Source organism: Homo sapiens, chromosome 14 (assembly GCF_000001405.40).
Source record: "Homo sapiens chromosome 14, GRCh38.p14 Primary Assembly".
In the NCBI taxonomy this organism is placed as follows: domain Eukaryota; kingdom Metazoa; phylum Chordata; class Mammalia; order Primates; family Hominidae; genus Homo; species Homo sapiens.
The window spans coordinates 93,877,743-93,899,059 of record NC_000014.9 but is presented as its reverse complement, the minus strand read 5'-3'; the positions used below and the strand labels follow the sequence as shown (position 1 = coordinate 93,899,059).

At 48.3% G+C, this 21,317-nt stretch overlaps 1 long non-coding RNA gene across 1 annotated transcript, besides 6 other annotated features; it reads right to left on the bottom strand.

The window, feature by feature from the left end:
• Positions 2,352–2,851: an enhancer, noted in NCBI's record as "H3K4me1 hESC enhancer chr14:94362555-94363054 (GRCh37/hg19 assembly coordinates)". NCBI's record gives its function as "activates a minimal SCP1, AML or CMV promoter by ChIP-STARR-seq in naive H9 embryonic stem cells {active_cell/tissue: H9 hESC(naive)}" and the evidence as "EXISTENCE:reporter gene assay evidence [ECO:0000049][PMID:30033119]".
• Positions 4,761–5,534: an enhancer, noted in NCBI's record as "H3K27ac-H3K4me1 hESC enhancer chr14:94359872-94360645 (GRCh37/hg19 assembly coordinates)". NCBI's record gives its function as "activates a minimal SCP1, AML or CMV promoter by ChIP-STARR-seq in primed H9 embryonic stem cells {active_cell/tissue: H9 hESC(primed)}" and the evidence as "EXISTENCE:reporter gene assay evidence [ECO:0000049][PMID:30033119]".
• Positions 5,535–6,309: an enhancer, noted in NCBI's record as "H3K27ac-H3K4me1 hESC enhancer chr14:94359097-94359871 (GRCh37/hg19 assembly coordinates)". NCBI's record gives its function as "activates a minimal SCP1, AML or CMV promoter by ChIP-STARR-seq in naive and primed H9 embryonic stem cells {active_cell/tissue: H9 hESC(naive and primed)}" and the evidence as "EXISTENCE:reporter gene assay evidence [ECO:0000049][PMID:30033119]".
• Positions 7,345–8,322: an enhancer, noted in NCBI's record as "H3K4me1 hESC enhancer chr14:94357084-94358061 (GRCh37/hg19 assembly coordinates)". NCBI's record gives its function as "activates a minimal SCP1, AML or CMV promoter by ChIP-STARR-seq in primed H9 embryonic stem cells {active_cell/tissue: H9 hESC(primed)}" and the evidence as "EXISTENCE:reporter gene assay evidence [ECO:0000049][PMID:30033119]".
• On the bottom strand, positions 13,656–18,634 carry LOC105370631 (uncharacterized). Its single transcript, XR_944162.3, has 3 exons — positions 18,478–18,634; positions 14,540–14,704; positions 13,656–14,265 (listed from the first exon to the last, which is right to left on the bottom strand). It is a non-coding gene; the product is annotated as an uncharacterized LOC105370631 (long non-coding RNA).
• Positions 18,370–18,869: an enhancer, noted in NCBI's record as "OCT4-NANOG-H3K4me1 hESC enhancer chr14:94346537-94347036 (GRCh37/hg19 assembly coordinates)". NCBI's record gives its function as "activates a minimal SCP1, AML or CMV promoter by ChIP-STARR-seq in primed H9 embryonic stem cells {active_cell/tissue: H9 hESC(primed)}" and the evidence as "EXISTENCE:reporter gene assay evidence [ECO:0000049][PMID:30033119]".
• Positions 18,870–19,371: an enhancer, noted in NCBI's record as "OCT4-NANOG-H3K4me1 hESC enhancer chr14:94346035-94346536 (GRCh37/hg19 assembly coordinates)". NCBI's record gives its function as "activates a minimal SCP1, AML or CMV promoter by ChIP-STARR-seq in primed H9 embryonic stem cells {active_cell/tissue: H9 hESC(primed)}" and the evidence as "EXISTENCE:reporter gene assay evidence [ECO:0000049][PMID:30033119]".

The window sequence follows — 21,317 nt, the reverse complement described above, 5'->3', positions numbered from 1 at the left end:
TTCATGCTCAAGCCTGCAGAGGATTTTGAGTTCAAGGGTAGGCAAAGGTATGGGTCATCCTTGGAAGAGACTTTGTTAGTCTCTTCCATATCCTGGGCAGAGAAGCGAGGCCCGGCCCAGTGAGGGGGGATTGAGCTGGTGGGCTCTGAGATGGGGCAAGCAGCAGTTCCGGGTGGAAGAGGACCCATTGGAGATTGAAGGAAATGCCTGTGGGGGACACAGCCCCCAGGGACCGTCATGTGGAAGGGGAGCTGAGGCAGGCATGAAGGCCCCACCCTCCCTCCTTATGAACCCTGCTTCTGCACACAGCCTGGCCTGGACATTGTTTGGCCTTTTCTTGTGGCCCTGTTATGGTCTGTAAGGAACCCAGCATTCACCTGTCAGTCTGCACTCCTCACCCCCGCCACTTCCAAAGAGCCAGGCCTCCTGTTCTCAAAAGGCTGAGCCTCAGCACCGGAGCCTGCCTCACAAGTGGACTGAACGGGGCACAGAGCAGCTCAGCCTCTGTCTCCAGAAGATGCAGGAAACTGAGAGGCCATGGGCAGCTGCCTCCCCTGCAGAGGACGGCGGCACCTCTTCTACAACAGCGTCTGAGCAGGAGCTCCCGCCTGGAGGATGGACGTCCAGGGCAGCCCTGAGGTGAAGGCGCAGGACAGCCCGTCCTCTGGCTCTGCCCCCTGTCGCTCCCTAGCCTCCTGAACAGGGGCCACACAGGAGCTGGGGACACAACCCAGAGGCCCTGCTGGGGCCACAGGACATGTCCATCATGTGTGATGAGTCACAGCAACTATTTTCAGCTTCTCGATCAAGGACATTTTGGTCTTTCTGGGTCGCGTCTGACTTAGTGAGAAGCCCTGGCCTCTCTGACCCCAGCAGTGGGACTTGTCCTCATATGAGCTGAGATGCCTGAGAGGCGGCCCGCACTGGTTCATTTCTGGGTGGTCATTCATGGTCATGGGTTAAACACAAGTCTCAGATCCCAAACCCTGGGCCTCCTGTTGCCTCTGGGGCCTCCATCTGCCCCCATGGCTGGGGAGAGTCACAACATGCATTTGCCCCAGCTCCATTCTGTCAAGATGCAAAAGAATGGATAGTAAAAAGAGTCCCACTCCCTCCCCAGCCCCAGCCTCCAGGGACCCTCCTGGAAGCAGCCACTGTTTCCAGTTCCTGGTGTCTCCTTCCAAAGATGGTCTGGGTAGCTCCAAGCAGTGGTATAGACATTCCCTGATGCCTCCCGTCTTAAGGACACTTGTTTGTACACAAACGGGGGCACACGCAGTCTGACCACAGCTCCACGCTTGCTTTTCCCCCTTCATTTATTTTAGCCATCAGGCCACATTAGGCTGTGAATGAGCTTGTCACTTTGATCAGCTGCATAAAGACAGACTCTTAAGTGGTATCTCCGACTCTCATCTCTTGCTCCTGAAGTCAGTGTTGTGGTTCCAGAGCAGCTGTGCCAAGCCATAGCCTTCAGCACACCCTGTGAATTTCTATTTGTTAGGAGATGTGTCTCATCTTATCTCATTCATTGTATCAATGAGAGCTAGCACTTAAAACACCAAAGTCTGTGAATGATGTATTCTTTTTCTGAATGAGTGATAGCAGATTTAAAGTTATTGCTCTCATAATACCAAACTAGGTTAGGAATATTTTTGTTTGAATGTAACAGAAACAATTTCAAACTGTCTTACGTAAAAGAGAGAAGTCAGTGGCTCTTGTAAGCTGAGAAGGTAGGGTCAGCTGCAGGTACAGCTGGCTCCAGGGTTCAAACAATGTCATTGGAATCAGTTTGCTCTCTAATTCTTCCACACGCCTTCCCTCTGCAGGCTTACGTCCCAGGATTCACTTGTAGCGGGATGGGCAACCAGTTTTGTGCCTGCCTAGTTTCAGGGTATAGATGTAGGTGGCAAAAATAATCTCTTTTCCAGAAGTCTAAGTGAAAATCTCACTTTGTCTCTGTACTAGTTAGGCAAGGCTAAGTTGCTATGACAAATAGACCTCAAATTCTGCTGTAACAGCTCAGACTATAACACTGCATTTTGCTGTCATGTAATATCAGTGGTGGGCCTTTCTGGTCATTTCTCCATGTGGTTGCTCAAGGACCTGACTCATTCCGTCTTGTGGTTCACTGTCCCCTAGGGCAGGAGTCTGCAGACTTTTCCTGGAAAGAGCCAGAGAGTCAACATTTTCGGCTTTGAGGGTCTCTGTCACAGTCTTTCTTTCTTTCTTTCTTTCTTTCTTTCTTTCTTTCTTTCTTTCTTTTTTCTTTCTTTCTTTTTCTTCTTTTTCTTTCTTTCTTCTTTCTCTTTTTTCTTTCCCCTTCCTTCCTTCCTTTCTTTCTCTCTTTCTTTCTTTCTTTCTTCTTTCACAATACTTTAAAAATGTAAAAACCATTCTTGGCCAGGTGTGGTGGCTCACGCTGTCATCCCAGCACTTTGGAAGGCTGAGGTGGGTGGATCACCCGAGGTTAGGAGTTCGAGACCAGCCTGGCCAACATGGTGAAACTCTGTCTCTACTAAAAATACAAAAATTAGCTGGACGTGGTGGTGAGCACCTGTAATCCCAGCTACTTGGGAGGCTGAGGCAGGAGAATCGCTTGAACCCGGCGGGTGGAGGTTGCAGTGAGCCAAGATCTCGTCACTTCGCTCCAGCCTGGGCAAAAGAGTGAAGCTATATTTCAAAAAACAAACAAAACGGAATAACCGTTCTTAACTTGTGGGTTGGGCAAAAACAGGACCACAGGCCACACTTGTCCTGCAGGCCTCGGTTTGCTGCTCCTGCCCCAGGCCATGGCACATGCAACCAGCCTGTGGAAGGGAAAAGAAAAGCAGACAGTGACTTGCCCACTTCTTCCCAGCTGCGGCCCCTCCGCCTCCTACACGAACCATTAAGTTGGCCCCAGTCACATGGCCACGCTGAGCTTGGCCATCTGCTCAGGAAGAAGAGAAGTGGCTTTTGGGGAGCAGCTGGCAGTCCCGCACAGTCTCATTGGCCCTGTTCAGGTCACATGTAACCCATCAGTGGCTGCATCAGTTAGTTTTTGTGGCATCACAAGCTGAATTCGTTTCCTAGGCCCGCCATAACCACGTATGACAAATTTATTCTCTCCCAGTTTTGAAAGCCAGAAGACCAAAATCAAGGTGTGAGCAGGGCCAAGCTCTCTCCGGAGGCTCTAGAGGAAAATTTTTCCTTGCCTCTCTTCTAGCCTCTGATGGTTGCCAGCAATTCTCTGCCTTCCTTGGCTTAGAGCTGCAGTGACTCCACTCTCTGCCTGCATCCAGACATAGTCTGTGTCTTTGTATCCAAATTTCTTTCCTTTCTCTTGTAAAGAACGTAAGGCCCACCCTAATCCTTTATGACCTCACCTTAACTTCATTGCATTTATTTTCAAGTAAAGTCACATTCACGGTACTGGCATTAGGGCTTCAGCTTATCTTTCTAGGGGACACAATTCAACCCCCTACACAAGTCTCACTCCAGTGTACCTGCCCTCTCCACCCCGCAGTACGTGTGCCAAGCTGGAAGCACACCCTTGCTAGAGATCCCCGCCTGCCACAGCTGGATAGCCCACTGCTGCTACCTGAATCTAGGTAGTGAGCCCCTTGTCCCTGGAGGTATGCAGGCAAATCCAGGTTTGGCAGCAGCTCAATTAAAGTGGCTTAATTCACATTCATTAATAAACATTTAATGAGCACCACTGGGCTAGGTACCAAGAACAGAGAGGCGGTGATTGTAACCCCAAGAGAAGAACAGATAATTGGCTCATAATATGATAGCGGAAGCAGATGAGCACTAAAGGAGAACGCAGGCCAGAGGCGGAGCAGCTGGGAGGCGGAGCAGCTGGGAGGCGGAGCAGCTCAGAGGTGGGCCTGGGTGGCAGCAGGCATGTTCTCCACCCAGGGCCATGAGGGAAGGACAAGAGAGGAGGCAGCCCCATGAGGAGGGGAGGGGGAGGGGAGGAGAGTGGGAGAATGCAGTATGTAGGGAGCAGTGAAAATAGAGCTCAGAACAGATTAAGAGGACAAAGCAAGTTGAAAATGATAGGGCATGATAGAAACAAAGCACAAAATGACACCTCGTGTTTTCTCTGGATTCATACTTGTGTGTAAATGTGCTTACAATGGGCTCCAAGGGCAGCCACAGCCTGAGAGCAGTGGTTTTCTCGGGCTCACGAGAATAAAGTGTGTGGACAAAGGGGATTCTAATTGTGTTGTAGAACTCTAATTTTTAAAAGAGAATAGATGTATATGCTATTTGTCTCATTTCTTTAATTTGCACATAGCAAAATGACTACCAGCAAAGACACCAAAATAGCAGCGGCAAATTCTGGGTGGTGGGAATCAGTGGCGGTGGTTGGTTCCCTTTACTTTTCTGATCGTTTGACTTCCTTAAAATGTGCATGTATCCTGTTTAATAATAAAGAAGAGAGTGGTTTTTCCTTAAAAAATGTCTAGAAGTGAAAATGCCACATATAAGTATATATTAATGTCTCATATTAACAGTGGTTAATTCAGAGCAGTGGAGATATGGGGTGTTGTCATTTTCCTTTTAGGATTTTTCTGCATTTGTCAAATTTCCCAAAATGAAAAGGAGGCAAAGGCTGGGCTGGAGCCCAGAAGAGCCCAGCATTTGGGGGAGGGTGGAGCCCAGAGCAGTCCCCCAGCCTTTGCTTTTCTGGTCTGGATGGTGCCACTGTCCAGTGAGTTTTTGGTAAAAAGGAGGGGAAGGGAGAGGAGGGGATGATTGAGGGGAAGGAAGGGGACACGAGAGCGTTTCCTTGAGAGTGAGGAGAGAAAGAGGAGAGAGAGAAAGGCGCGCATCCCCGAGGTGAGCTCTGGGTCTCCTGTCTCCCAGCCTGGGAGGGGAAAGGGGCTGGTCTCTGGGCCTTGCTGATGGGAGGGGAAGGGCTGGTCTCTGGGCCTTGCTCATGGGAGGGGAAAGGGGCTGGTCTCTGGGCCTTGCTGATGAGAGGGGAAAGGGCTGGTCTCTGGGCCTTGCTCATGGGAGGGGAAAGGGCTGGTCTCTGGGCCTTGCTGATGGGAGGGGAAGGGCTGGTCTCTGGGACTTTGCTGAGCACCGGCCATCCCTTGTCCCAGGATACAGCCCTGCACATCTTTTTCCTGCTCAAGAATTTCAGAAAGAAGAAGAAAAAGCCCATTTGCACTCATATGTTTACCTCACTCCAGGGAATTCTCTGGAATGGAGAAAGGCATTTGTTTGCAGTGAAAAACAGCAGAAGAAGAAAAGCCCCGTCAGCTGGAAAGTGTCTGAGCCACAGTGAAGGGCTCCTTCCCTGCGGCCGCCGCACCGGTTATTAACACAGAGGTAATGACATTAGGCGGCGTGATTAAGTCAGCAGCCCTGGGCCTGCCACCCCTTCTCCCGGAGTTACAGCCTCATTTTTCAATTATGCTTTCATTTGAACATCTTTGAAAAACGCCTGGCGAGCACGAGAGTCCAAGAGGAGAACTGGGCTCATTTCAGCCCGTCTTTTTTCTTTCCCCAGGAGGTGGGGTAGCACATTTCCAAGCTCAAGGTGTGCAGGACCCCTCCCCAAATCCCGAAACTCGGACTTGAACAAGAATTTGCTGTGTTGAATTGTCATCAGTTGTCCCTACTCATGCCATAGAAGACTTTCAGAGCCAAGCAGGCTCCCCAGAGATTAAATCCAGCCTCTTCACCAGCAGACGGGAAACAGGTCCAGAAGAGCCCCAACTTGCCTGGAGCCCAGCCAGGCCGGACTCGGAGACTTTAGATTTCTAAACCTGAATCAAAAGGAGCCAGCTCCTCAAATGGGCATTGGTGCCTCTGTGCAGTTGTTCAGTCATCATAACAAGCAGAGTGGCCTTTGCCTCCCGTGCAGAATAGGGGTCCACAACAGGCCTGTTGTTGCTTCCTGGGTACCTGCCTGCAGTTCCCAGAGTAGCCACCAGGTGGCCCAGGCCTTGCCGACTCTGGCTTCATAATCCAAACAGCCCGGCTCAACTTCCAGGGCCTGCAACATAATGGAGAGAACTCAGAGTCCGCTCCCCACCTCCCCCGTCTGCTCCCCGCTGTAAATTTAGTCCGTGCAATAGTGAACATTCAGGTCTTCAAATTTCAGGGGTGCAGGAGCAGAAACGCAGGGGTACTGGGGAGAGAGGCTCGGGTGTGTCTTTTCAGATGCCACATAGCCTAACTGTGCTGCCTCTAGCAAGACCCCCATCTCTGAGCCTCCCTTACCTGTGAACAGGTGTATCCATAGCCACTTGCTCTGCCGCAGAGTTATGCAATGATGGACGTGAAGCCTTGTGGGAATGGCGACCCAAAAGTTCCCAAATGCCAGAATGCCAGATCCCAACTCCCCTGGATTTTTTTTTTTTTTTTGAGACAGTGTCTTACTCTGTTGCCCAGGCTGAAGTACAGTGATGCAATGCAATCATGGCTCACTGCAGCCTTGACCTCTGGGGTTCAAGTGATCCTCCCACCTCAGCCTCCCGAGTAGCTAGGACCACAGGCAAACGCCACCACACCCAGCTAGTTTTTACATTTTTTGTAGAGATGGGATCTCTCTATGTTGCCCAGGATTGTCTTGAACTCCTAGATTCAAGCAATCCCCCTGCCTCGGACTCCCAAGGTGCTGAGATTACAGGAGTAAGCCACCATGCCCAGCCCGCTGTGAGCTTGTTAACAAGCACAGCTCTGGGCCCATCCCTCCAGAGTCAGAAACAGAAGGTCTAGAGTGAGCGGGTCCCTGAGCGGGCCTCTCCCTCCCTCTGCCATCCCAAGGGGAGAAGCCATGGGGACCCTTGGCCCTAGCGCAGTGCTATCCCCACCCCACCACAACTGCCTCCACCAAAAGAGCAGAAGGAACGTCACCAGGATGCCTCACACACCGGGGCTAACAGCCCAGCAGGAGGCTGACATGCAATCAGTTACAACCCTGCCTGGAAAGTGGTGGCGGAACAGTGGGGTGTGGCACCCCCCAGGGGGCTGCAATCCACCGTGAGTTTCCCAGCAAAGCAGGTGTGCCCGGGCACTGCTCCAAGACTGACGTCCATGATTCACTCTACAAATCAAAGTGGAAGTCAGGTTATTCCTATACATACATCAGCCTTACTGACATGACAGGCTTCCTAGAATGTTCTAGGTGAGGAGTTAGAGCAACCATGCCAAAAACCCGGCCCAGCCCATGGACATGTGTCCTCCTGTGACTGCCTTGGGACGGTGGAAAAGGTTGAGATTCTTGGCGCTTCAGGTATTAAAATCGCCCAGGGTGTTTTTGGGAATGCCTTTTGGAGAAGGGGGCATTTGAACTGAGTGTTTCGGGGTAAAGAGCAGGTGAAGGAGAGGAGAGGGGGCTCTGGGAAATGTGAGCAGAGTGTGGAAGGGACAGAGCCTGCAAAAGCTTGATGAGAATGACACACATTTGGATATAGCTGGAGAGAGGGGAGCAGTGACGAGCGACGGGGTGAGAGAGTTCAGCATGGCCTGGCCCTAGACCTGAACAAGCCTCTTAAGCCACGCAGAGGTTTGGATTTCTCATAGAAACCCACAAGGGTCTTTGAAGGCTTTTCAACTCCACAAGGGCAGAGACTGGGGACACAGAGGCCAGACAGTGACCATTACTATCCCCTGGGTGAAGCCCAGGGGCCGGGGCAGAGGAAGAGGGAGTAGAAGTGGAAGGCAATGCCAGGTGACTATGGTATTCAGGATTCAGGATCCGTGGGACACAGGTTCACATCAGGAGCAGATGGGCCACGGGTCATATGGCAACCAGGCTGGCTGGAAAGGCTGGGGTACCAGGAGGAACGGGGGAGGGGGAAGCCTGCAGGACAGCAAAGGCGTCAGGGCGTGAGAGGCTCTGACGGCTTGTGCGGGGGTGACTGGAGCTTCCAGACGGCCCTTAGAAGAGGAATCCGGAGCAGCAGGAAGGAGAATGAACTGGCAAGAGGAGCCGGAGAAATGTTAGGATGTTGGTATTGGGGAAAGTTTCCTCAGCAAGGGCATGCAGAATGGATGGAAGAGGAGGGGTGCAGAGGTGGACAGGCGGCCAGGAGTGTGGGGTGACAGGTGGCCCCAGTGTGAGTGAGACCACAGCCAGCTCATGGAAACATCCAGAGTCATAGCGGGGTCCTCAGCAGAGCTGGTGAAGAGAAAGTGAGACCAACTCAACGTGTGATTGTGGATAAGTCCCTGCTCTTCTTTCAGCCCCAGTTTCCTTATTTATGTCGTAAAGAGTCCAGAGGAGGAGGCCTCCAAAGGCCCTTCCACTATGGACTTTCTGAAGTTGACTAACTGGGTAGTATCCCCATTCCTTAAGGAAAAAGCCAGCTAACAAGGACCTGGGGACATCTCTACTGCATATGGGTCACTTCTGGACATGCCCTTGACACTGTCGGCATCATCTCTTTTATGTGGATTCCAACTAGGGCTGCTGTGTACAGTTGCACAGGCTACGTACTGCATTGTTTGAGGCACAGCCATCCCTTTAAACTAGATGGAGTCTTGCAGAGCAGCCCCTGTGCTGAGAACATCCTCCCTGCTCCATGACAGCATCTGGAGTGCCTACTTCCTGGAACCTGGACCCTCTCCCCAGAATGTGATTGGGGAGAACAGGAGGACCTGAGTTCTAGGCTGGCCTGTGGTGTTACATGGCCAGCCCCTCTACTCACTGGGCCTCTGTCTCTTTCTCCATAAAGCGGCCAGGACGAGCCATTCTGAGGCCTTGTCCAACTTCTGAGTTCTTATTGCCAGAATCATTTGTCTCTGGAAATTGCAGCAGCACCGAGAGGGCCATGTGGCCTTTCTGGGCTCCTCCCAGATCAGCCCCAGGAGCTGAGAATTTTCCTTGTGCTTCTGTGCTGCAGAGCAGAGATGCTGCTGGGCTCATCCAAATCCCATCCTCCCCAAAGCCCCAGGGGCCTCATTCCTACAGGGGCTGATTCTCGAGACCCAGGGCTTCATAAGTGCCTCGACTACCAGACAAGCAATAAGTGTCCAGGGTGGGTCGGCTGCACACCACAGCACCTGACAGCTGGGTGGTTCTTGCTCAAACCATCATTATCTCCCTTAAATCACGTGAGTAGGAAGTCTGGATTTGTCACTAAGGAAAGCTGACAGGACATTCTTCATCAAGGAGGCCCTCCAGCCCATGGACAGGGTTGGTGGGATTCCTGGCTTTCAAGGGACCAGCCCTGTTACGGAGCACTAATGAACATAACCAGCAGCATGTCCTCCACACGTGACAGTCCATGAAGCCCTTCACACTAATGAAGTCACTCAACAAACACTGAGGGCATACTCTGGGCTAGCTCACTGTGGTCATGGACATGAGACAGCTCCAGGTACTGCTCAAAGTTGCTCACCGCCCCTCTGGCTCATAGCTGATTTGATTCTCACAACCACCCTGTGAGGTAGGTATTATTATCACCCACACTTTGCAGACCAGGAAACTGAGGACAAGATTTAGGTCCTTTGCCTAAGGACCTAAGGCCAAGCTGAGCCCTGAACACAGGCAACAGACCACAGCCCCCAGGGGTTTCGTTCTCCCTCATGTGCTGTGACCTGGGGCCAGCACCTTCCCTTTCTCAGTCTCAGCTCCTCATCTGTAGTTTCTGGCTGGGGGGCTAGAATGGTGACCTAGCTCTGCGGTGCATAGATCCTGTGAGCCCAGACCTGCTGCAGACTTGGCAAACCTAAGAGTTAGCTTCAGAAATCAAATTGGCAGATCCAGAGCTCTAAATCAGAAGAGACACCGCCCAACAAGCTGATTGGGCAAGTAGGCGTCCGGGCCAAGTTCGAAATACGCACAACTCACCCTTGTAAGCTGTAAACACGCTGCACCACGAGGTCCCGCTGTCCATCATCGGGTGTGTGAGTTGATATCTGCCTTCCTGGAGCCAAGTTTTGGCTGTAGCAGACACTTCATTTCTCCCCACACAGGGTTCCACATTATAAATCACGTGCTTAGGAGAGAGGGGGAGAGGCGGGAACAGCTGCCAAAGGCTGGACCTGGCCACGTGAATGGGATTGGGGCACATGAGTCCACTGATTGTGGAGAACTAGTGGCTTTCTCAAATAGGCATGGAGCTCAGGATGCCCTGTCTACCTGGTCAACTGCCCTTCCCCGAGGACCTAAGTGCACAGTACTACGGTTAGGTGCACAGAGGCAGCACACCAGGATCCTGGCTCCGTGCTCACAGGCAGTTTCCATTTTCCCCCTAGACCCACCCCGACCCTCCACGCTGTTCTCTGGTCTCTGCGGACGCCATTCAAGGACTCCTGGACCCCTGGTTCCCAGTGAGTTCCCACAATAGTAGATGTAGGCACAAGATCAGAGGGTACCTTGAGACTGAGGTTGGCTATTTATTTATTCCCCTGGACCTTTTCCTAGCAAAGACTGCAGCTCCTGACAGCCTGCCCTTTCCTGCAGCCTCTCTCCAGGTTTTGTAACCCCTCTTCCTCCTTGCCCTTCAGGACGTCACCAGCGCTGTGACACTGTGCCATCCCTTGTTGGCTTCCCTCAACCGACTCACACCTCTGTAAATATTCCCCTTTTAAACTCATGACCTCTTTCATGTATGCCATGGGATTTCTCCCAGGAGGCTGACTGATGCAGCTGTTTACTGTACATCAATTTTAAGATGCACTGTTATTTTAAGTCTCACTAAGAAAGAATAAACAGGCCAGGTGCAGTGGTTCACACCGGTAATCCCAGCACTTGGGGAAGCCTATGCAGGAGGATCGCTTGAGCCCAGGGGTTTGAGACCAGCCTGGGCAACGAAGTAAGACCCCCACCTCTACAAAAAAAAAAAAAAATTAGCCAGACATAGTGGCATGAGACTGTGGTCCCAGCTACACAGGAGGCTGAGGCAGGAGGATCAGAAGATCACTTGAGTCCAGGAGGTTGAGGCTGCCATGAGCCATGTTCACGATGCCACTGCACTCCAGCTTGGGTGACACAGCAAGACCCTGGAAAGAAAGGAAGGAAGGAAGAAAGGAAGGGAGAGAGGGAGGGACAGAGGGAGGGAGGGAAGCAGGGAGTAAGGGAGAGAGAATAAACCACAGCCTTAAGTGATGACACAAACTAGACCTGTAAACCATGACACAGGGCTTCCTATCACTTTATATTTTTATTTTATATTTGGCAAAAGAGCTGTTTTTTAAACTTGTTTCAATTTAGGATTTTGAGGGTTTTAAAAAATCCTCTATCACTTTTGTGCATACACAAAGAGGGAGATATCAACTAATAAATCAGCTCAGTTGCTCCCAGAACTCCATGCTCAAGAGTCCTTCTCTTCTGAACTGTTTAGCTTCCATGGCATCAGTGTCCACATTTGCCCACATGGAACTGGTTCTGGGCCATCAAGGGCATTGGTGGTGCACCATTTCTTAAAGGGCTGCCCCACTTTTGTCTCTGGGATTTTCTTTCCAAAGCCACTGCCCACATTGTGCAAATTTTAATATGCATGTATGGCAATGACAACTTTGTTATGACTGTCACCTGTCAGCATCAACTGTACGATGTACCTCCATTTTAGAGACCATAAAATGTTTCTGTTAGAATCAAGGAAATATGGGTGTTAATTACGCTGACCTTAGGCAAGTCAATTTGCGTCTCTGAGCCTTAGTGTTTTCATTAGTTGAAAGGTACATTTACCCAACTTGATCTATAGATTCAATGCAATCCCAGTAGAAATCTCAGCAAGTTATTTTCTGGATATCAACAAACTGGATCTAAAGTTTATAGGGAAAGACCCAGAATAGTCAACACAATATTGAAGAAGAACAAAGTCAGAGGACTCACACTACCTGATTTTAAGACTTACTATAAAGCTACAATTATCAAGGCAGTGTAGTGTTGGTTGAAAGAATAGACAAACAGATCAGTGGAATGAATACAGAGCCCAGTAGTAGACCCATGTAAATATAGTCAACTGATCTTTGACAAAGGAGCAAAGGCAATTCAATGAAGAAAGAATTATCTTTTCAACAAATGGTGCTGAAACAACTGGACATCCACATGCAAACAAAATTTAATCTAGACATGACTTCACACCTTTCATAAAAATTAACTCTGATTTTACACCTCTCATAAAAAATTACTCAAAATGGGCCGGGTGCAGTGGCTCATGCCTGTAACCCCAGCACTTTGGGAGGCCAAGGCGGGCAGATCATCAGGAGTTTAAGACCAGCCTGGCCAACATGGTGAAACCCCGTCTCTACTAAAAATTAAAAAAAAAAAAAATTAGCTGGGTGTGCTAGCATCCACCTGTGGTCCCAGCTATTCAAGAAGCTGAGGAAGGAGAACCGCTTGAACCCAGGAGGCAGGGGTTGCAGTGAGCCGAGATCGTACCACTGCACTCCAGCCTGGGCAACAAAGCAAGACTCCATCTCGAAAAAAAAAAAGAAAGAGTAACTCAAAATGGAGTGTGCACGTAATGTAAAACACAAAACAATAAAACTTCTAGACAATAACGTAGGTGACACTGGGTTTGATGATGAGTTTTTAGATACAATACCAAAAGTATAACCCATCAAATGAAAAAATTGGTAAGTTGAACTTCCTTAAAATTTTCTGATTTGCAAAAAACAGTATTAAGAGAAAAGACAAGCTACAGATTGGGAGAAAACATTTGTAAAACACATATCGGATAAAGGACTTATATGCAAAATATACAAAGACCTCTTAAAAGTCAACAATAAGAAAACAACTCAGTTAAAAGATGGGCAAAAGATCTGAACAGACACCTCACCAAAGAAGATACACAGATTGCAAATAAGCATATGTCATCAGGAAACTGAAAATTAAAACAACAAGGAAATGACACTACTATTAGAATGGCCAAAATCTGGAACATTGACATAACCAAACACTGTCAAGAAAACAGAGCAACAGGAACTCTCATTCATTTCTGGTGGAAATGCAAAATGGTACAGTCACGTTGGAAGACAGTTTCATTTGTTGTCTCTCTTGCAAAACTAAACATCGTCTTTGTTTATGTTTAGCTGAAACACATGATCCAGCAATTGTATTCCTAGGTAATTACCCAAATAAGGTAAAAAAATGTCCATGCAAAACCCTGCACATAAATGTTTATAGCAGCTTTATTCATAATTTCCCAAAACTAGAGGCAATCAAGATAGACTTCAAAAGGTGAATGAATAAACTGTGGTACATCTGTACAAGGGAATATTATTCAGCAATAAAAAAAATGAGCTGTCAAGCCAAGAAAAGACATGGAGGGATCTTAAATGCATATTACATTGTGAATAAGCCAGTGTGAAAAGGCTACATACTGTGTGATTCCAACTATATGACAAAACTATAAAAATATTGTCAAGGCTAGTGGTTGTCAGGAGTTTGGGGGTGACAGAAGGGAGGAAGGATGAATAGGTGGAAAGCAGGAATTTCAGGGCAATGGAACTATTCTGTATGCCACTCTGATGCAGATACATGCCATTAAGCATTCATCAAAGCCCCCGGAATCTGTACCCTCGCATAAACTATGGATTTTAGTTAATAATAATGCATCGAGATGGTTTCATCAATCTTAGCAAATGTACCCCACTAATGCAAGATGTTAATAATAGGGAAAACTGAGAGTGGGAGGGAGGGGGCCTATAGGAACTCTATCTACTGTCTCCTCAATTTTCTGTAAATCTAAAACTTTTCTGAAAAATAGAAGTCTATCTTTTAAAAATAAAAATAAAAATAAATAAAGCATGCATGTATATCTGTCTACTTCCTGGGGCAGCTGGAAGGCTATGTGAGATAATATATGACAAGCACTTGGTGGAGGACCTGGCTTATAAGAGGTGATCAACAAATGCCTGCTACTGTGGTTGTTGCAGTGGTTATTGGAGCTGTTGTGGTTATGATTGTGGCTGTTGTTAAAATTGCGTCAGGTTGCTGTGGTCTGTGGTTATTTTGGGAGCTGTAGCTGTGGTTGTTGGAGTTGGTGTGGTTATTGGGTTTGTTGTGATAATCACTGGAGTTGTGATCACTGCTGTGGTTGTAGGGTTAGGGTTGTATTTGCAGCTGTGGGGGATGTGTTGGCTGTTGTGGGTTTTGTTACAGTTGCTGGATTGTGTTTCTCATGGTGGTGGCAGTGCTTGACTTGTGTTGGTGGAATCATTGTGGAAGTTGGCATGGTGGTGGCTTGAGCTTCAACAGCCTGCAGAGGGCTGAGTCCGGATTCTCTTTCCCAGGTAAAGGTCTTGGTTAAACACTTTGGGGCTTGCAGAGTCTTCATAGAAGCTGAATTTCAAAGAGCTTCAGTTCTGTAAGATGATAAGATTTGGGGCAAAAATTAAGTGAGACAAAGACAGACATGAATGGAAGAAGCAGGAAATGAGGGAATGTGTCAGGAGTGAGGGTGGCTCCAGTGAGCCCTGGCGTGTGAGCCACCTCCACTGATCACTCGGCATTCATGGAAGTGGCACTCCAGAGTGTGACTCACCATTCGTAGAATTCTCTAGAAACGGATTCTTTTTTTCATAAGAAAGAACATATATTTTTTAAAATTAAGTGGAGAGAAGAACCAGCCATCCGTACCTCTGGAATGAGCTGGCCTCTGGAGAAACTTTGTCTCCTTCAGGGAACGGTGCGGGAGTTCTTTGCGATACATTTGTAGGAGAATCACTTGAACCCAGGAGGCGGAAGTTGTGGTGAGCCAAGATCGCACCATTGTACTCCAGCCTGGGCAACAGGAGCAAAACTCTGTCTCAAAAAAAAAAAAAAAAAAAAAAAAAAGAGAGAGAGAGACATGTTTTCTTTCTTTCATATGTGTCTGTGCCTAGGGATTTTCATGGTTGTGATTTTATACAATTGGGTACCTACTATTCACTTAACTTTATATTCTAAGTGTGCTTTCATGTAGGTACTTTTTTTATATATAATCATCATTTTCATAATAATTTAATGGTTAAAACCAGGAGTTGGCAAATCATGGCTTTTGGGGCAATAAATAAATCTTTATAAGTAAAGCTTTCTTGGAACATAGCTACACTCATTCACTTACACATTGCCTATGGCTGTTTCTTGCCACAATAGCAGGTTGAGTACATATTGCACACAGGCAATATGGTTCAATAAGCTGAACATATTTACTTATCTGGCCCTTTTCAGAAAACATTTGCCAACCCCTGTTTTAAATATGTTTTTGCCAAATAGCTTTTCAAAAGCTTCGTATGATGTTTTTGAGCATCAGGGTGTGATGGCTGATGCCTGTAAACCCAGCACTTTGGGAGGCCAAGGCAAAAGGATCACTTGAAACCAGGAGTTCAAGACCAGCCTGGGCAACATAGCAAGGCCACGTCTCTACAAAAAAAAAAAAAAAAAAAAAAAAAAAAAAAAAAAAGAATTGCATTAATTTACATTACTATCAATATTGTGAAAGGGTATCAATTGTTCTGCATCCAGGCCAGCATTTGGTGTTTGTTTTAATCTTTGCACATTTTTAAAATGAGACAAATAGTATCTTTTTTTCAATTTGAATTTCTCAAATTATTGGTGAGTAATTTTTTCCATTTATTATTTACTTTTTGAATGACTTCTTTTCTGAATTTTCTGTTCATATTCCTTACTCATTAATCTACAGAGACATTGCTCTGTATTTGTTTTTTAAATTTTGTTTTGTCTAGCAATTTATGTAAGTTCTTTGTGCAATTAAGATATTCATCTGTTTCTATCATATTTGCCATAAATTCCAGAAAAGTCTTGCCATATTTATTAATACGGTGACTTTGGGCAAATCCCTCAACCCCACTTTCCTTCAGTATAGTCAACTACAGGACAGAAGTAGAGTTATTTTTCATGGTATTATGTTGAAAATTTGATGAAAGCTTTTCATCAAATCTTTTACTAAAGAAATGAAAGTTTTAATTACTATTATCATTATTATTACCTATGAAAACAAACTAGCAGAAACAAAAACATCAAATGCATTCTGCCCAACTTTTGGAGGATATACGGCAGTGGCTTTCAAACCATGTTCTATGTACCTTAGTGTCACAGTAAGGATTCTTTCAGTTAGAAGTGAGAGAAAGCCCAGCTCAAACAGGCTTAAGCAAAGTAGGCACAACTCTTGTCTCAGGTCATTGTAAAGTTCAGGATTTGGGATATGGCCAGATCCAGGGGTCCTGACGATGTTACCAGGACTGCCTGCCTTCTCTCCATCTCTTGAGTCTGCCGTGCTTGGTTTGGGTTTTGCTCTCAGGAGGGTGCAGATCCTGGCTGCGATGGCTTGGAAGTTTGTCCCCTCCAAAACTCACGTTGAAGTTTGATCTCCAATGTGACAATACTGAGAACTGGGACCTTTCAGAGGTGATTGGGCCCTGAGGTCTCTGCCCTGATGAATGGATTAACCTATTGATGAATTAATGGATTATTGGATTATTGAGGGAGTGGAACTGGCGGCTCTGTAAAGAAATGAGGAGAGGCCTGAGCTAGCATGCACAGCCCCCTCGTCATGTGATGCCCTGCACCATCTTGGGACTCTGCAAAGATGCCCCCACCAGCAAGAAAGCCCTCACCAGATGTGGCCCCTCCACCTGGGACTTCTCAGCTTCCATAATTGTTAGAAATAAATTCCTTGATATGGTTTGGCTGTGTCCCCACCCAAATCTCATCTTGAATTGTAGCTCCCACAATTCCCGTGTGTCGTAGGAGGGACCTGGCGGAAGGTAATTGAATCATGGGGTGGGCCTTTCCCATGTTATTGTCAGGATAGTGAATAAGTCTCACAAGATCTGATGGTTTTATAAATGGGAGTTTCCCTGCACAAACTCTCTCTTTGCCGGCTGCCATGTTTGCTCTTCTTCATCTTCCGCCATGGTTATGAGGCCTCCCCAGCCATGCAGAACTATGAGTCCATTAAACCTCTTTCCTTTATAAATTACCCACTCTCAGGTATGTCTTTATCAGCAGTATGAAAATGGACTAATACATTCCTTTTTAAAAATAAATTACCCAGTTTCAAGTATTCTGTTATAAGGTACAAAAAACAAAGACACTGGTTTAAGCCCAATCAGTCCAGCAAACTTCTGCTTCAGCGCATCCAGGACAGTTTCCAAGGCCAGACTCTTTGGACCATCCTGGGTCCCAGGCCCTTCCTGAATCAATCATTATGGCCAGGATGTGGCACTGGCAGACTGGTTGGGCCTGGTGGATGAAGTCCCTATCTACAAATGGGTGAGGGGGAGTCCCCAGAGGAAAATCAGGCACTGTCACTAGACAAAGGGGCCATGAGCACAGGCAGACAGGAAACAGACATCTCTGCAGGTGCCTCAGGGACTACACTGAGAGCCAGGGGGCTGAGGGCTCAGGAGACCTTTCTTTCCTTCCCCCCATTCAGCCACATCACCTTCAGCTATTTTATATATTGGTCCTCTGGGTAAGAATTTTTTTAAGAAACAGCTTCTGCTGCTAAGTGAGTCTGCACATGCCTGATGTGGACTAAGGGGAAGTGTCCAGAGAGAAAGCCATGAATGAGGGACAAGAACCTGTATTTTGCAGAGAATCATGGCAAGGAGGCTCTGAGAAGGTAGGCACCACATTCCTAGAATGTGAATTTATTGGTCCTGGGATTACAGCAGGAAGCAAGGCTGACACCGTTTGGGTCTGTGTCCCCACCCAAATCTCATGTCAAATTGTAATTCCTAATGTTGGAGGGGGGGCCTGGTGGGAGGTGACTGGATCACGGAGGTGGATTTCCCCCTTTGGTTCTGTTTTCATGATAGAGTTCTCGAGAGATCTGGTTGTTTTAAAGTGTGTGGCACCTCCCCTCTCTCTTCCTCTAGCTCCCAGCCATGTTTCCTGAGGCCTCCTCAGAAGCCAAGCAGATGCCAACGTCATGCTTCCTGTACAGCCTGCAGAACCATGAGTCAATTAAACCTCTTTTCTTTATAAATTATGCAGTCTCAGGTATTTCTTCACAGCAATGAGAGAACGGACTAATCCAAAGAAAAAGACCCATCTTCAAGGCACTTACATTCTAATTATCCAGGCAGCAACATGTAAGTCAGTAAATATTATATTGTGCTGTATTAGAAGCAAGTAGTGTCACAGGCTCTGAAGGAACATAAGACACCATGATCAAGAGGGATGAGGTTGGGGGGCCCTTTACCTAGGATCCCAGGGAGGGCCTCTCTAAGGAAGCGACATTTGAGCTGGGATCCTCGAGAAGGAAACCTGGAGAAGGAGCATCCTGCCAGAGGCCCCAGGGGAAACCCTGCTAGGTATACCTGAGGGACACAACAGCCAATGGGTTGGAGCATGGTAAGTAAGGGTGTGAGCAGCTGAGGATGCAGAAGGGCCAGGGCCAGGTGACGGAGGATGTTGCAAGCTTTGGCAAAGGAGATGGAAGTCCTGGTCCGATACACAGAGTGTGACAGAGAGAAGAGAGAACAAGTGTGTTCTGTGGGGCCAGAGCAAGGCGTGGTTCATGATCCAGCAAGGAAAGCTACAGGAAAAGAGTTCCAATTCCAGCTCACTCAGAAAGAAGCTGTTTCTGGCAGTCCCTGGTGCATCCAACCACAGAATGGGCAGCCTGGAGGAGGTGAGCTCTCCGTCCACAGAGGTGTGCAAACAGGGTACAATGGCAGGACATGCTAGAGTCCCAGGAGTTGGTGATTCAGTGAAATCAACAGGAAAAAAAAACAAAAAACCAAACTCAATAATAATCCTTAACAAAGTTTACAGTGGCAAAGGACCCACTTAAAACATTTTAGCAGCAGCCTGCTGCGATCAGAGCAATCTCTGGAAATGATTTATTTACATATAAAAATGAGACATTTCCCAACAGCCTCGCGACAGCCCCTGGGGTGAGGCTCTCATTGGACTGTGCCTCCCCTGGGGCCAAGAGGCTCTGCCCCTCCTCAGCTCCTGCCTCGGTTGGGGGCTGATTGCCTCTCCCAGGGGAGGCGGAGGCTCACGCCCTGCCAGCATTCCAGAGAGTTGCTTCTCCAAAATAAACCTTGCATAAGCATTTAAATGTGCGGCTGGGCATGAAGTACAGTCAACATTTTTATTCCAAGAATGCAAATGAGCCCCTGAGGGTCCTGGAAGAGACAAAAATGCCCTGGCCCAGAAGCACTTTTTTGAAAGGCTTGAGTTGGGCACAGCTAGTTTCACTTTCTCAAAACAGTCTTGGGGAAACTGAGGCCCAGGGATTGACTCAAGGTCACAGTGTGAGGAAAGGGCAGAGCAGCCGGAGACTTTCTATCCTGCTGGAATTTCCCCCAATCAGAGCTTTATTTGTTTGCATTGAGCAAGCTCCCAGATGCAGCCAAGTAGTGGGCAGACAGGTAACTGGATCGTTTCACAGAACGGGACCTCTCAGCAAGCTCCGCTGTCTGCACTGGGCACCAGTGATTCCTGAGGCTTGGGAATCTGGACCCTGACTTTGAAGGACAAGAAGAAGCCTGCCCTTATCGTGAGGGTACTTACAGGTGCCACCCCAGGCAGCGTTAGGGCCCCTCCCTCCTCTGGGCTCTACCCACAGCACCTGAGGTTCTTGTCACCTCAAGCCTTGTCCACTCCAAGGGTCTGGCATATATCACGTGCTCAAAACCTGTTGCCACAAACTGAACCAAGTGGCCTGCCCATAGAGGACCTTCCTCACCACAGAAATAGGGACAAGCAACTAGATGGGATATGTCTTAGGCAGGGGCCACAGAAGCCCTGGGGGCTGTCCTGGGCTTTCCCTGAGACTTTGGACCTCAAGTATGGGCCAGACCCTGGGAATAGATGTTTCTAAGTCTCCCAGAGATACCCGGAAGTTTCAGGGGCCATGAGAGGGAGCTCTGGGCTTTGGGATCTCAGAAGCCTCCTTCAGTGTAGATCCCCCACATTTTTCCTGGCCTGGGGGGGTCCCTAGCAGGGCGGACTCACCCAGAGTCAAGCGCCCACCCTGACCAGGTGCTGCTCGATTCTCCTCTGCTAACCCAGGTGGCTCAGGGGCTTGCTTTCAGCATCCCATGAGCAGAAGGGTCCTGGCCTATTGGCCCCTGCAGCATCATGCAGGCTCCTGAGGGTGGGTGGAGGGCCCAGGCCAGGCATGAGTACGAATGAGGTCCCCCAGGCAAGGCTGGTCCCACCAGGGAAGCCCTCCTGTTCCAAGACAGATCTTGAGTTTAGTTTAATCCTTTAGAGGAAAGACTGTTTCCCATTCTTAGGAAGGATCACGCCTCCCCTCACTCACAACCCCCACATCCATATTGTGCTGGAAAGTGGTTAACCTTTTCCCATCACGCCTCATGCCCAAACGCATTTTCAAAATTGCGCTAGCTACTAGGATCCTCATTCTTTACTGCTGGGGAGAGAAGGGCACCTCTGGGCAGAATTCTGTTCATCTCTGATCATAACTGGAGCTGGAGGGGGCTGGTTCATGTGTCCTCCTCACAGCCCCAAGAGTAGAGGTTCCTGTTTTTCCCCAGGGACCCAGCACTGTGCCAGGCTCCCAGCAGCAACTCCTGGACCCCCAGGGTCCCGTCCACCTCCCTCACAGGTATTGATTAGCAGAGGGACACCAATTAGGCAGGGGTGTTCAGCTGGCCCGGCTCCACCAACCCACGTGCCTATTTCCCTGCTGGAGTGAAGCGCCTGGTTTCTCAACCCCTGGAGAATTACAACTCACTTTAAACAAGAAGGCGGATGACTTCGTGCCTGCCTCCCCCAAGCCTAGCAGCTTAGCACCATCTGAATTCCAATTAGTATCATCAAGTTTTCTCAGGGAGGAAAATGTTTCCCCTGACACCCACCTCCTTCCAGCTGCAAGAAGTTTGCTCAAGGCTAAGACACATCTGCAGAGTCATGAATCCATCCGCTGAATATGCCTTTATCACCACCTACTCGGAGCCCCAGTTCCCGACAACAGTCATAGTTACTGCTGATGGCCTGTGGTCTGTATGCCAGGCACCTCATCTCAGCCCTCACAGTGCCTAGGAAGTGGGCACTTATGTTGCCCCACCAAAGATGAGGAGACTCGGGCTCTGTGACCAGTGCAAGGCCACCTGCCCTTGCCCATCCACCTGGAGATGAGGCTTATCCCAGGACTCTGATTTCAAAGCCTGGGATCTGAACGGTGCACAATATCACCACATCTGCAAAACGGACAGAGCTCCGGGCATTAAAGATGATCTTTGGAGAGCAGCTGGTCAAGTGCCACATAGAAGCTCAAGAAAGGTCCACTCCAATAAAGAATTGGAGGTGCAGCTGGAGGAGCGGAATCACACAGATAACCTCCCTCCAGAATTGGCTTAGAGACCTGTAGGGAGGCAATGCCATGCAGGCTGGAGTTCAAGCCTTAAAAGGCACAAATGGCCTGCCCTAG